Here is a 16056-nt window from a genome sequence, read left to right as displayed (position 1 = left end):
GAGACGGGAGAATTGCTTGAACCCAGGAGGCGGAGGTCACAATAAGCTGAGATGGCACCACTGTACTCCAGTCTGGGAGACAGAGCAAGACTCAATCTCAAAAAAATAAATAAGTAAACAAAAACAAACAAAGAAACTCAATGTAACCTTTTTCTATTTTTATTTTCATTTTGGGACCAGGTCTCACTCTGTCACCCAAACTGGAGTGCAGTGGCATGATCATGGCTCACTGCAGCCTCAACCACCTGGGCTCAAACAATCCTCTCACATCAGCCTCCTGAGTAGCTAGGATCACAGTCACCTGCCACCACACCCAACTGCTTTTTTTTCAGATTTTTTTTTTTTTTTGAGACAGTCTTACTCTGTTGCCCAGGCTGGAGTGCAGTGGCATGATCTCAGGTCAATGCAACCTCCACCTCCCAGGTTCAAGCGATTCTCCTGCCTCGGCCTCCTCAGTAGCTGGGATTACAGGTGCACACCACCATACCCAGCTAATTTTTTTATTTTTTGTGGATATGGGGTCTCACCATGTTGGCCAGGCTAGTCTCAAACTCCTGACCTCAAGTGATCCGCCTGCCTCAGCCTCCCAAAGTGCTGGGATTACAGGCATGAGCCACAGTGCCTGGTCTTTTCTTTATGATTTTTTTGTAAAGAGGAGGTCTTGCTATGTTGCCCGGGCTGATCTTGAACTCCTAGGTTCAAGTGACCTTCCTGTCTCAGCCTCCTAAAGTTCTGAGATTACAGGCATAACCCACTGGGCCCAGCCAACGTAACCTTTTGAAATCTCAGTTTTAAAAGCAATTATTTTGAAATCAAAAAGTATTCTTTCAATAAGTACTTCCTAAGTTTATGAAAATATGTTTTTTATTTTCCTAAAATATATAATAAGAATATATCTGAAAATTGGAGTTTTTATATTTTGCTGAATATAACAAAGCTAAATGTTACAATTTTAAAAAGTAGAGACACAGGCCAGGCATTGTGGCTCATGCCTGTAATCCTAGCACTTCAGGAGGCTGAGGCAGGCAGATCACTTGAGCTCAGGAGTTCAAGACCAGCCTGGGCAACATGGTAATACCCCCGTCTCTACAAAAAATACAAAAAAATTAGTCAGATGTGGTGACACGCATCTGTAGTCACATCTACTGGGGGGCTGAGGGAGGAGGATTGCTTGAACTTGGGAGGTTGAGGCTGCAGTGAGCTGAGGTCACGCCACATCACTCCAGCTTGGGTGACAAAGTGAGACCCTGTCACAAAAAAAAGTAAAGTAAAATAGAGAAACATTGATTTTTTAAAAAATACTTTTCCTACCTTTCCACTCACTCCATCACACAAATGCACATATATTTTTTTAATTACACATTTATTTGTATACTATTTGGTTAATGGCTAAATCCCTGCCCCCGCCCCTTTGATAGACTATGTAAGGACAGGGACAGTGTCTGGTTGTTGCAGTTGTTTTTCATTATTTCTCCCTGGCACTTAACACAGTGCCTGACATGCAGGAGGCAAATACGTATTGCATGCCTGCAAGGATGAATGAACGGAAAGGGAAACCTTGTAATTTTGCCCTGTTATTCAAGGAGATTCTCCTCCTACTAAAATATATTGCTACTTCTTGTCAGACTGTTTAACTTGGCAGCATAATATAGCTTAATTTCCTGTGGCTCTTTTCTTAGTTGTTATTCCAAAACAGAAGCTCCTAAATTTTCATGCAAAAAAACCTCTATTATGTTAGAAAAGCAGGCTCAGAGGGCCAGACTACCTGTTTTGAATACCATGTTACTTGCCTATAACCTCAGGAAAATTATTTTCTAGTCTCTCAGTCCTTCAGTGTTCTCATCTTACAATGAAGTCTATGACTGTATCTGTTTCTTAGCAGTGTTGTCAGGATTCAATGAGATAATCCACGTAAAGTGCTTAACACTCTCTCTGGCATATGGTGGTGCTCAGTTAACAAACAATGTTGTTATTTTATCTTACCTTCAAGTAATATAAATAATAACTTTTTATTTTTAATGTCTACTGTAGGGAATAATAAATCTACAAAAGGAGTAACTGTTCTCTCTCCTTCCAACAATACTCTTGCAATTTTGTTTCATTATTTCATAATTTTCATAAAGCAGGGAAAAAAGAAAAGCAGGTAGGAGGAAAGAGACCACTCACTCGAGTCCTGCAGTATTATTCTGCTTCTGCCTATTCCTGTCTGCTGGCTCCAGGCTAGCTTCTACACAAAGAATATCAAGCTGGTTCCAGGAACTGGCAAGACATAAAAAATTAATTAGTTATACAAGTAGAGTCACAACAGCAATAATAGATAACAATAATGTCACAAGTAAATACGATCAACAAATATTTAAATTTCAATTTTAAATTATTTTCACCTTTATCCTCTTCTGCCGTTCTCTGCTGCTAAAATAAAATTGGCTAAGGTTCAGCTTTCTCTTATTCCTTAGTTTTGAGTTACTGATAAAAATTAGACTGGAAAAATAGAAGCTATTAGGAGAGTAAATAAATAATTTAGTTTACAAATGTAAGATCAGCTTGGCAATTGGATTTTTTTAAAGAAATAATATTAAATCTCAGTCACTAGGAGGAAATCATTTATCATCTAATAAAAGTCCTCACATAATAAGGTTGTCATAAAAATTAAATGAATTGATAAATGGAAAGCTTTAAGAATGATACCTGACATATGATGAATGCCATATAACTATAAAAATATTATTTCTAGTTTCACCATTATCGTCATCATCTCCTAAAAGTCAATGGGTTTGGTTTTTGTTTTTTTTTTTTTCTGTTGGCAGTTCTTTTATGTTCAAATCCTCTTCTAAACTGTAAGATTCTTTCAAGGTGGTTTTCTGCATGATTATTTTTTTCTCCCTAGCATCCTCCAGCACACTGGATCATGTTCAGTACATTAAAAGTTATGATATAAAAATAATACCATTTTAAATTATTGATTTAGGATATAGAAATTGATCTTAAATTGAGGGGTTCTTTTGCCATAATGTTCCATATCAAAGGTAATGTTTAATGTTGTTACTTTGCAACTCCATAGAAAATATGTTATATATTGGTATTTAATTCCCCCAAATTTTAAGGCAATTTCATGCCTAGTTATTAAACACAAGGAAAGAGAGTTAGCAAGAAATTTGCTTTATGTTATTAAAAATAATGTGGTAGAAGGTAACTAGGGAAAAAAACTTGTGACCCAGTAGAGTCATTCTAAAACAAAAACTTCAAAGGAACTCATTCTCTGACCTGGCAGGGGATGAGGAGTGAAGGAGAAAGAAACTTACTACTATCTGAATACCTACTCTGTGCCAGGTATTCTTCACATTCTCATATTTAATTTTCACAACCGTCCAGTAAGAGAAGTATTTTGTTCTTCATTTTACACGTAAGTAAGTAGAAGGTTAGAGAGTGTGAGTCATTTGTACAAGGTCACTAGCCTGGTTGCAGCAAAAATAGAATTCAAACCCAGTTTGCTAGATTCCAAGCCTGCTGTCAGTTCTGCTATAACCCAGTGCCCCCTGAATAAGGAGAACAATGAGAAGAAGGGCAACAAATCCTAGAGAACCATAAGAAAACTTAATATTTTATTATGTCTTCTTGTAGTCAAAAACCACTGGTACACGATAAAGGCAACTAAGCAAAACCGGTTTCCTTAGAACTCCTGGTGTTATGAGGGCAACACTCAAAAGAGATATTTGAATAGAGGAACACTGAGAGGACAAGAGTGCAAAATCAGCCCAAAAATGTTTGCATGCTGATTTGTCACTATTGTACTCTTCCTCCACATATATTTTCTAGGAAGAACATGGAACTGATGAGTAACTTATGAAAATTACTGAGTACTTTTTTTCTAATAGTCTAGTACTAGATTTTGTTTATTTTAACAGAGCCATTTACATTATATATTAACTCAGTTTAATATTTTTCTTTATGCCCCATTTTTACCCCTAATTGTAGACTGTGTTAGGTCCTCTGGCTCTAGAAACAGCAAGAGTCTCCACACCCCACTTGGAACCATATGCGAAGGATGAGATGACAGTAGCATTTTTAGCCATCTCGATCGCAGCTCCAAATGGAGCTCTACTTATGGGCATTCTGGGGCCTAAAATGCTTACACACCATTATGATCCAAGTAAAATAAAACTGCAATTGTCAACATTAGAACATCATTAAAAAGTTTACCTGTCATCATCTGCCTGCTTCTTTTAATGAATTATTTCACATGACAGAAGAATTTTAAAGTAGAAATATGTAGGGACTGTACAGAAAATCCAGGATTTAGTAAACATGTGATTTCAGTACAGGGCTTTTCTTGGACATTTTACTCCAAAGTTAATTTAATAAAAATAATAATTAAATGGAATGCTCTCTTGGTATTTACATACTGTAAGAACAAATTAAATCTGTAAATCCCTAGGAAAGTTTAAAATAATCCCTCAGGCTGAATTTGATATCATAATACAAACTGAGCTTAATATAAAATTAAACAAATTTAATGGCAGAAAGAAAAACTTTGAATATTGAACTTGGTAAGATAGCCTAAGTTTCCAAATAGGAGGAGTAGAACTCCCCATGATGTCCAGTAATTCAGTTAAAACGATCACTACAAAAAAAAAAGGAGTAAAACACATCAACTTTAAATGGGTTAACTGAATAGATTTTAAATTCTGGTTTTGGTGACTACCTGAATAAATAATATGTTAAGTAATAGAACCAAGTTAGTCTTTCCTTATTTCTGCCATGCCCTTAAAATGAAAGTCTGGTTTAGCAGTTTTTAGATGAAACACTATCTATATTTTTATTTATAGAAATAAAATTAAATCACAAATGGAAGTAAACTATATTTTTTTCAATTAGTATTTTTAAATCTAGGCATAAAAGGCAGCCTCCAAAAATGAAAGATTTGGAGACTACTGTCATGTGGCAGTTTCTTCTCCTTAGTAATATAGAATTACCTTTTAATTCTGGCTGATTAAATCTGCCATGTTAATGTAGAACCCATCACAAGCAAAGTGAGTTTTAATTAACTTCAAGACTCTTTATTTTAAAGTTATAAGAGTCATATAAACACTTCTAAAATGGCCTTATTGAATGGCATTTTAGAAATTGTTTAGACTTCTTTGGCAAAAGCTCAATGCAAGGACTGAATATTACTTTCATTCCTCTTTTTCCTCTTATCCACAAGCAAGGTATTAAAATACCACAGAATATGAAATTTACACATAAATTTGCCAAGTGAAGCAATTAAAATTTAAGGCAATCAAAACTATGTGTTATTCCTATTAAGACTAAGGGCTTTTACAGAATATATCACTGAAACTGCCATAAGTTCTAAAACTGTCTGGGAAATAACTTAGAAAATACACTCTGGGAGAATAACTCTGGGAAAAGATAAAATAGTACTGTTTTAGTGACATTTTCTCTTTATAGTTTTACAACAAAGTACAGACTCCATTTTCAAATATTGTAATTCTAGTACTCAAATTCTAAAAATTTAAACTGTGCCAGTGTTTTGACTACTATTTAAATCATGAGGACATCTCATTGTCACTTATAAAAAAATAAAAATATAGGCAGGGTGTTGTGGCTCATGCCTGTAATCCCAGCACTTTGGGAGGCCAATGTGGGCAGATCACAAAGTCAGGAGTTCGAGACCAACCTGACCAACATAGTGAAACCCCGTCTCTACTAAAAATACAAAAATTTGTCAGGTGTGGTGGCATGCACCTGTAATCCCAGCTACTCAGAAGGCTGAGGCAGGAGAATCGCTTGAACCCAGGAGGCAGAGGTTGCAGTGAGCTGAGATCGCACCACTACACTCCAGCCTGGGAGACAGCAAGACTCTGTCTCAAAAAAAAATAATAATAAAATATATGTATATATATATATTTACAAGATAGTATTTTACATTCACAAGAGAATTAGATTTCAAAGTAGAAAGTTTATTTTAATAAAAGAGAGATAAGAAATAATTTTCAAAATGAGGAATTGTGTTTTTGATTAGGAGGAAAATTGTTGTACCTATTCTTTTTATTCTTTATTTATTGAACTTTCTCTAAGTGTCTGTGATATATAATTATTATACTGAAATAGTCGCCGTTTTAAGGTAGTGTGGCAGATGTTGTTATTTATTTGAAATTTTAAGTTTTTTATTTATAAAAAGTTTTTATAAAAATTTATTAATATAATTTAAAAATTACAACCAGTTAACCATGTGTATGATATTAGTGTTTACAGTATTTAAACAAATAAGGCTGGGCACAGTGGCTCACACCATCCCATCACTTTGGGAGGCCAAGGTGGGTGTATCAGGAGGTCAGGAGAAGGAGACCGTCCTGGCTAACATGGTGAAACCCTGTCTGTACTAAAAATACAAAAAACTAGCCAGGCATGGTGGCAGGTGCCTGTAGTCCCGGCTACTCAGGAGGCTGAGGCAGGAGAATCACTTGAACCTGGGAGGCAGAGGTTGCAGTGAGCCAAGATCATGCCACTGTACTCCAGCCTGGGTGACAGAGCGAGACTCCATCTCAAAAAAAATAAAATAAAATAATAAAATAAAATAAAATAAAATAACAAATAAATACAAGATTGTTGTTTCTTATAAACTTTTTTTGTATCTTTGCCTACTTTTTTCACTGTTTAAGGAATTTTTATTAAAGCAAAATTTTATAATCCAAATTACCTTTCCTTGCTCAGTTATCAATTCTGTTACTTAAAACAGAAGTGACATTCTTAGCTATTCCACACTAATGAATTACAAAATTAAAGGAAAGCTTTAAATTTTTATACTTTGCTGAAAATTATTTATCACAGAGTCTGAAAAGCATTACAGTGTTTTTATATTTTATTATTTTGGGAGGATTTTTTCTTTTCAAATCAATAAGTAATCTAGGACTATCATTGCATTTGTTAGATCTGACATTTGCTTGGTATGTAAAGTTCAAAGTTTCCTTTTTAAATTTATTTTATACTTTACAAATTTTTTCCATAGTATTTAAGGTTTTCGATATTGAGATATTTTTCTTCAGTGATGCTCAAGTTTCTTTCTGTGGTCCCTGATCAGTTTTAAACAATTGGAACACCAGTGGCACCATTAACTGCTTTCTGGGCAGCCTCTTTAGCTTGGTGGTCTCGTAGTACAGCTATACCTTTGTCAACCTTAGTATAGAGAGGCTCTGGAGATTCAAGCATATGAAGGAGTTCTAAATTACCAATCTCCAACAACATGCCAATGATTTTAGCAGCACGACTAGGGCATGGCTTCAAGAAGAGGAAACAGCCATTCACTCGTTTCCTTTTGCTTTTGAGGAAGAGCAGATGCCATCATGGAAGTCAAAGGTTCTTGACCTTCTACATGAACAGCAGGCTGCTGCATGGTAACCTGGGGCTGTGCATGAAAATGCCATTGAGGATTGTGAACTTCCATAGCATATTTATACTGTGAAATGGTACAAACAGCAGGAGTATCTGTAGTAGCAGTAGCGGCAACTGCAGAATGTGCTCCTATTGTCTCTGTCGATGTGTTACAACAGCTGTGTTGACATGACTCGTGGAAGCTGTGAAGAAGCTGGTCTCTTACTACTAAATGTAGTGAGCTAGGAGTGGCTTGGGCATATTTTTCAATGGATGAGGTCTGGCACCCTGAGCAATTTAGGGAGGATTTGATCTTAGTTGAGCAGTTTGGCTAGGAGAATACTTTGCAGCATGGCTCTCAGTCTGTGGGATAACTGCCATGAAGTCAATTGAAGAAGGTGCTGGCTGATAGGGACTGATTCCCAGGTTGAGCATAGTTTTTACACTTGCCATTCTTTGCACATACTGTACTGGTTAATGAGCTGAGCCTGGTGCTCTTCATTGCTTTTCTTCCCATGGAGTTAACACTATATACAATGGCTCAGTGCCCACAATTCTACCATTCATTTCTGAAAGTGCTTTAGTTGTTTCCCCTGGAGAGGAGAAACATACACAAATCAAACCCTTTGTTGTGACAACCATCCTTCATAACCTTTGCATTGGTGATTGTACCAAGTGGAGAAAGTTCTTTCCAGAGACATTCATCAATACCATCAAGATTTTTTGCATAAATGTTAACACTTTGTTATCTGGTGATCCTATACTGCTTGATCTTTTCAAATTTGCACACAAGTTCCATCTGCCATTCTACTTCTTTCTGAGCTTGACCAACATCAATTTGTTTTCCATTGAGCTTCTTTCTGTTCATCTCATCTGTGCATCTTTATGCCTTTCAAAGCTGACAAATCCAAAACCTTTGGGTTTTCCACTTTCATTAACCACTACTATCACACTTAAGACACATCCCAACTTGCCAAAGAGATCTTTAAGACACCTACCATCCATGTCTTCTCCAAAAATCTTCCTGTAAACATTGGTGAACTTTTTAACTCTGAGTTCTGCCTCTCATTGTTTACAAGACTTAATCCAACAAAGACTTTGCTATCATTTAGAAGCACCCATTTCATTTTTGAATAGATCTTTCAGCTGCTTCTGTGTGTCAAAATGTACAATGTCATCACCCTTGAAACCGTTTTCACCACAAAGCACCTAATGTGAAAGTGATAGAGACAGGAGGCAGCCAAGGGTCCCCTGGTAAAACCCCACCTTCAAGACTAAAACAGCCTGAAGGCTGATAAACTGGACTGCAGGTCCTGGTTGAAGCCGCCCTTTCCTCACTGATTCTGAATAATGCCCACCTGCGCACTGGGATTACGGGGTGGAGCTGCGGGAAGTTTGTGCAGTGTGCAGTGGAGAGGAGTCTGGCCTGTTCCCATGTAGTGACCTAGGATTTAATTTATGAGGTGGGAAACCCGCTAGCAGGACTTTTTCTCTCTTTGCTGAGAGTTATTTTTCCTTTTTCCTTTCCACCCAATAAACTCCGTTCCCCCTCACCCTTCAAGTGTTTGCGTGCCTTTTCCTGGTGGTATGACAAAACCTGTTTTTTTCTGGAACAAAAAGATGTTACCAAAAGCAGATGTATCATGCAATGCTTTATAATCAATAGATTTGTCCAATTTTTTTATGAACATGTTGCCCACTCCATTTTTGCGGAGTGATGGATCACACCGAGACCACTTAGTGTGTATTGGCTAGTCTTCTATAACATCAAAATTCATGGGGTCTTATGCACATTCCACATCCTGCGTTTCCCAAGGAGCGCCGGTGATCTGGTTCCTGTAGCCCGGGATAGAGAGGACCGGCCAGCAGGCCTGGTCACGTGCGGTGCGAGGACAGGGGATGGCTGGGACGCTGGGCTCACCTCTGCACCTGTCTGCCGGTAGGGCCACAGGCTGCGACCTTTCTGTGAAAGGAGAGTAAGGGCTGGGGAGGAAGCCTTGGCCAGCGCAGAGAGATAAAATCACCTGGAATCCGAAGAACTGCGGCCCGCAGCGGGCTGGGACGAGGGTGGCGTGTAGGGTCCAGCGTCCAGGCCTCGGGATCCTGTTCCTTCTTGAAGCTTTTTCGGAGCTGCGAGGGGGCGGGTGGGTCGCTCTCGGCTGCCTCACCGGGTAATCTTATACAAGAAGAAAAGGAAAATATCTCTGGCAGTGAAGACAAGGATTTTTTTGTAAAGTGTTTTGCAGGGGTGACGGGTGTTAAAACAGAAACCTTTTTTTTTTTTTAAGTTTTTTTCATGGGATTTTTTTCGGGGGAATGGATTTTTCAAGATAATAAATATGTGCTGATCCTGGAGAACATACTCCACACTCTCAGCACTAACCACTTGGGAGAAGGGACCCATTAATGTTTAATTGTACCTTTTCTTGTGGCCCCGTTTTTTCCCTTTTAATTATGAAACATTGGAGCCTACAGAAAGGTAGAAAAAATGGGCACCCACATAACCACCACCTAAATCCAATTAATTGTTAATATTTTTTCAAGTTTTCTTTATGTAATTTTTCAATTTGAATTAAAAGTAAATTATAGGCATCATGCTAATTTGCCTCTGTATACTTAAGCCTGCATATTCAAAAACTAAAGCCATTTTCTTGCATAACCACAATTCCCTTATCCTTTCACACCAAGTTATCAGTAATTCCTTACAATTATTCAACTCCCAAATATTTTCAAATATAAGCAGTCATGCCCCATTTAACACATTTCAGTCAACTAGTCGACCATCTAAACTGTGGTGGTCTCATAAGATTAAACTGGAACATATATAGAAACCTGATAAGCAGTATATGGCCCTTGATATTGGCATTGCAGCTCAAGTAGAGGAAATGACTGATGCTCAGTAGTGGTGCTGGAACATTTGATTTTCCTTATAAAAAATAAATAAGTGAAAATATATAGGGCCGGATGTAGTGGTTCATGCCTGTAATCCCAGCGCTTTGGGAGGCCAAGGTGGGCAGATCATCTGAGGTCAGGAGTTTGAGACCAGCCTGGCCAACATGGTGAAACCCCGTCTCTACTGAAAATATAACTAGCCTGGTGCAGTGGCAGGTGCCTGTAATCCCAGCTACTCAGGAGGCCGAGGCACGAGAATTGCTTGAACCTGGGAGGCTGAGGTTTCAGTGAGCTGAGATCGCACCAGCACTCCAGCCTGGGTGACACAGTAAGACTCTGTCTCAAAAATATACATATATATACCATCTAGGTTTGCATAATTACACCCTATGATTCACATTTTCTTAATTGTTTCTCAATTATAGCAATTTTTAAAAGCCAGGATCCAATCGAGAACTGGACACTACATTTTGTTTTTGTCTCTTATTTTGTAATCCAGTACATTTCTCCATACTTAATCCCTTGCTAAATGGCATAGACTCTTTTTTTTTTTTTTTTTTTTTTTTTGTTGAGACGGAGTCTTGCTTTGTCACCGGGCTGGAGTGCAGTGGCGTGATCTTGGCTCACTGCAACCTCTGCCTCCTGGGTTCAAGAGATACTCTTGACTCACCCTCCTGAGTAGCTGGGATTACAGGCGCCTGCCACCACGGCCGGATAATTTTTTGTATTTTTACTAGAGACAGGGTTTCACCATGTTAGCCAGGATGGTCTCGATTTCCTGACCTCATGATCCACCCTCCTCAGCCTCCCAAAATGCTGGGATTACAGGTGCGAGCCACCGTGCCCAGCCGGTATTGACATTTTAAAGGAACCATGCTAGTTGTCACGTAGAATATCTCACATTCTGGATTTGTGGGACTGTTCATGGTTTCATTTAGTTTGTTTGTCTATCCCTTCTATTTTCTGAAATTTGAAGTTAAATTTAAAGACTTGGTTACATTCAGGTTAAACTTTTTTGGCCAGAATCATTCAAAGTTGATGTCGTATACTTCCAATAGCGGCACATTACGAAGTTTATGTCTGGTTGTCCCACTGCCAGTGATGCTAATTTTCATTCCTAAATTAAGGTAATGATTGCCAGATATCTGTATCATAATGGTATATTTTCCTCTGTAATTAGCCAGTGATCTCTGAGGTTATACCTTGGTACTACATGAATATTCATTCTTCATCAAATTTCTCAAAATTAGTAGACTTTGTTTTTTAGAGCAATTTTAGGTTTACAGAAACCAATGAGCAGAACGTACACAGAGTTCCCATGTAACACTACCTTCCTATCCCACTCTCCACCCAATCCCTACCTCTGTACACAATTTCCCCTATTATTAACACCATGTATTAATATGGTATATTGGTTACAATTGATACATATTGATACATTACTATAACTGAAGCCCATAGTTTACATTAGCGTTCACTCTTTGTGTTGTAAAGTTCTGTGAATTTTTACAACTGTATAATGACAGATATCCACCAGTATCATACAGAATAGTTTCATCAGCATAAAAATCTTCTGTGTTCCACCTATGTATCCCTCTCTTACTTTCCTCAAATTGCTGAAAACCACTGATGTTTCTACATTATAGTATTGCCTTTTCCAGATTGTCATACACTTAGAACCATACAATATATAGCCTTCTCATGCTGGCTTCTTTTACTTAGCAATATACATTTAAGTCTTCTCCATGTCTTAGCTTAATATCTGATATCTTTTTAGTGCTGTATAATATTCTCTTGTCTGGATGTACTACAGTTTGCATAGCCATTAACCTACTGAAGGATATCTTGGTTGCTTCCAAGTTTTGGCAGTTATGAATACAACTGTTATAAACAGCCATGCACAGGTTTTTAAGGTTTTAACAAACTCTCCCTGGCAGTTCCTGTTTTTCCTCACTTTTCAAGCCCATGGGCTATCTCCCAGTGCTGTTCATTTTAATATTCTGCAGACTACTTAAGCATTACAGAATATAGAAGCTGGAAGATACTTGGCAGTCATTTAGTCCCTCATGTTCCAGATGAGAAAACTGAAGCCCAGATACCTTATTATTTGTTCAGTCCCCCAATCTGAGTGTCAAATCCACCTCTCCCAGTTGTTTTCTGTTCAAATAACCCTGTGAACTTCAGTGACCCTCACTGACCACATCATCATTATTCACCAATAGTTCCCCAATAGATCCGCTCTACATTAGCTCATTTCAAATGTTCTTTTCCTTTCATGTACATACCATACAGTACTTAAAATTCTGTTGACAACAATAAATATGAATTCAAATTAAGTTCTTGCCCCAAGGATGTGACTTCTACTACACAGTTCCTTTTGGCCTGAGGGCAATTCCTAGGGCATGAACTTAGTCATGTGCCCTCAACAGACAGCACTCTAAGGAAGCTGGGGAATGAGGGTCTCCATTCTGCAGGGAGGCCTGGACTACACAGCACAGAAGACACTACTCTGTCCATCCCTCATGTCATTTGGATCCATGACTTCATATAACTTCTCTCCATCTAGGAATAGCTCCTCCAGGATTTTGGTTGGTTTCTTTTGCTGGGGAAACGTGAAAGTAACATTCATGGAGGGAACAATAGCTCCTTGGCTCTTCAACTGGTCTTTCACCCTAAATTGATCATCTGCCTTTCCTGCTATACAGGTACTATCAGGTTTACATTCTTACCCTCAGCTAGCACCTCCACTGGTCTAGGTCACTTACCTGGTGATAGGAGAGGGGGGTGTAGTAGCCATGGCTACTAGACTTGTCCTTTTAAATTGAGCAATCAAAATTTAGTAAGGGACTACTTAAACATCCCTTGGCTGCCAAACACATTCCTGGCTACTTCCGTTGTGTAACAGCATTGAATTGCAGAGATAAGAAGCAGAAATTTCCCAAGTGAATCCCTGGGGGTGATGGTAAATAGTGCTACTCTTTCTTCAATCCATGATCCTCTTTCTATTAGCGACAAGGGACCATATAATGGTTACTGATCTAGGATATATGCTTGTATCCCATCCCTGCAGCTTCAAAGGGCTACTGGAGGCTGTTCCATCACTCCGTCAGTTTGACAGCTTCTAGTTGTTGTGATTTCATGATTTGTAATAGGATCACTGAATTGCATTTTCATGTGTCCACCACTGCAACTACAGTGCTACAAAGTACATTCCCTTTATACAGTGCTATAAAGTACAATGCAAGGATGTGTAGGATTCCATATTGGAGGATTAAACATTCTGTCAACACTTGGATAGTGGTGCTGGTTGAGGCCATGTAAGTAGGAAAGATAAATCCGTACTCAGAATAAGTATCAGTTCCAGCCAAGATGAATCATTACCCTTCCTGTGATGGAAAGCATCCAGTGCATTCAGCTTGCCACCAGGTGACTACTTGGTGTCCTTGAGGGATGATGCTATCTTGAGGCCTCAGTGTTACTCTGTCTTGATGACAACTTTGACATTCAGAAGCAGCAGTAGCTAGATAAGACTTAGTCAGTGGAGACTTCTGCTGTTTGGGCCTCTGCATAGCCTCCATCCTTGTCACTATATTTATTCACCAATTGTGCCAGTACTGAGCTGGCCAATGGAAGAGGTTGGCTAACATCATCTGGCTGAGTCGCTTTTCTCTTTGGTTGTTGATAGATACCTCTTGTAGGTGTTAACATGTGAAACAAAGATCTTCATACTTTTTGTACATCCCCATAAGTCCACCCATATGCCCTTTTCTCAGATGTCTTTTTCTCCAGTCTTCCAAATTTTCTCCTTCCATCCCCCTGACCTGTAGCCAAGCCATTTGACCATGTGTCAGTACATACTTACTTTGAGTCTCTTCTCTTTTCATGCAAAGTGAATGACAAGGTGCATAGTGCAAAGTTCTGCCAACTGAAATTTTTTTTAAATTTTTTTATTTTTTGAGACAGAGTCTTGCTCTGTCACCAGGCTGGAGTACAGTGGCGTGATCTCGGCTCACTATAAGCTCTACCTCCTGGGTTCATGCCATTCTCCTGGCTCAGCCTCCCGAGTAGCTGGGACTACAGGAGCCCACCACCACACCCGGCTAATTTTTTTTGTATTTTTTTAGTAGAGATGGGGTTTCACCATGTTAGCCAGAATGGTCTCGATCTCCTGACCTCATGATCCACCGCCTTGGCCTCCCAAAGTGCTGAGATTACAGGTGTGAGCCACTGTGCCTGGCCAAGAATTTATTTTTGAGTTGAATTTTTAAATATTAAAAATTTTTAAATATACAAACAAAAATTGTATATATTTGTAGTGTACAACCTGATGTTTTGAAATATGGATACATTGTGAAATGGCTAACTCAAGCTAATTAATACATGTGTTACCTCACATACTTATCATTTCTTTTGTGATGAGAACACTTAAAATCTACTGTCCTAGCAATTTTCAAGTATGCAATACATTGTTATTAACTGTAGTCACCATGTTGTACAATAGGTCTCTTGAACTTGTTCTTCCTGCTTATCTTAATTTTTGTATCCTTTGACAAACATCTCCCCAGTTCTACCCTCCTCCCCCCACCCCTAATAACCATTATTCTATTTTCTGCTTCTATGTGTTTGACTTTTTTAGATTCCACATATAAGTGAGGTTACATGGCATTTATCTCTCTGTGCCTGGCTTATTTCACTTAATATAATGTCCTCCAGTTTCATCCATGTTATTACAAAGGACAGGATTTCCTTCTTTAAGGCTGAACAATATTTCATTAGGTATATATACACCACATTTTCTTTAATCGTTCATCTGTTAAAGGATACTTAGGTTGATTTCATATCTTGTCTATTGTGAATAATGTTGCAATGAACATGAGGTACAGATTTTTCTTTGACATATTGAATCATTTTCTTTGGGTATAAATAGTATTAGGATTGCTGCATCATATGGTAGTTTTATTTTTAACTTTCTGAGAAACCTCTATATTATTTTTCATAATGGCTGTACTAATTTACATTCCTGCCAACAGTATACAAAGGCTCCCTTTTCTCCACATCCTCGCCAACACGTTATCTTTTGTCTTTTTCATAGTAGCCATTCTAAAAGGGATGTCTCATTGTGGTTTGGATTTGGGTTTCCCTGATGACTGGTGATGTTGGTTATTTTTTTATATTCCTGTTGGTCATTTGTATGTCTTCTTTGGAAAAATGTTTATTCAGGTACTTTGCCTCCCTTTCATTAATCAGGTTATATGTTTTCATGCTATTGAGTTGTATGAATACTTTATATATTCTGGATATTAATCCTTTATCAGATGTATGGTTTGCAAATATTTTCTCCCTTTTTGTAGGCTATCTCTTTACTCTATTGATTGCTCCCTTTGCTTGCACAGCTTTTTAGTTTGATATAATCCTGTTTGTCTATTTTTGCTTTTGTTGCCTGTGCTTTGGGGGTCATATCCAGAAAATCATTGCCCAGACCAGTCTCATGGAACTTTTCCTGTATGTTTTCTTCTAGTAGTTTTATGGTTTCAGGTTTTATATTTAAGTCTTTAGTCCATTTGTGTTATTTTTTTGTATATGGTGTGAGATAAGGGTCTAATTTCATTTCTCTGCATGTGGAGTTCTCCCAACACCATTTATGGAAAAGATTATCCTTTCCCCATTGTGTATTCTTGGCATATTTACTGAAAATCAATTGACCATAAACGTGGATGTATTCTATTCCATTGGTCTACCAGTCTGTTTGTATGCCAGTATCATGTTATATTTTTGATTACTATAGCATCATAG

At 38.1% G+C, this 16056-nt stretch overlaps 2 pseudogenes; one reads left to right on the top strand and one right to left on the bottom strand.

The window, feature by feature from the left end:
* The window catches only part of SLC9B1P2 (solute carrier family 9 member B1 pseudogene 2), a 48809-nt pseudogene extending 44428 nt beyond the window's left edge, over nt 1-4381 (top strand).
* On the bottom strand, nt 6884-8592 carry PABPC1P6 (poly(A) binding protein cytoplasmic 1 pseudogene 6; annotated as a pseudogene).

The sequence above is a fragment of the Homo sapiens genome, chromosome 2 (genome assembly GCF_000001405.40).
Source record: "Homo sapiens chromosome 2, GRCh38.p14 Primary Assembly".
Taxonomy (NCBI): domain Eukaryota; kingdom Metazoa; phylum Chordata; class Mammalia; order Primates; family Hominidae; genus Homo; species Homo sapiens.
Note: the sequence above shows the minus strand (reverse complement) of the source record. Positions and strands in the feature narration are given on the sequence as shown.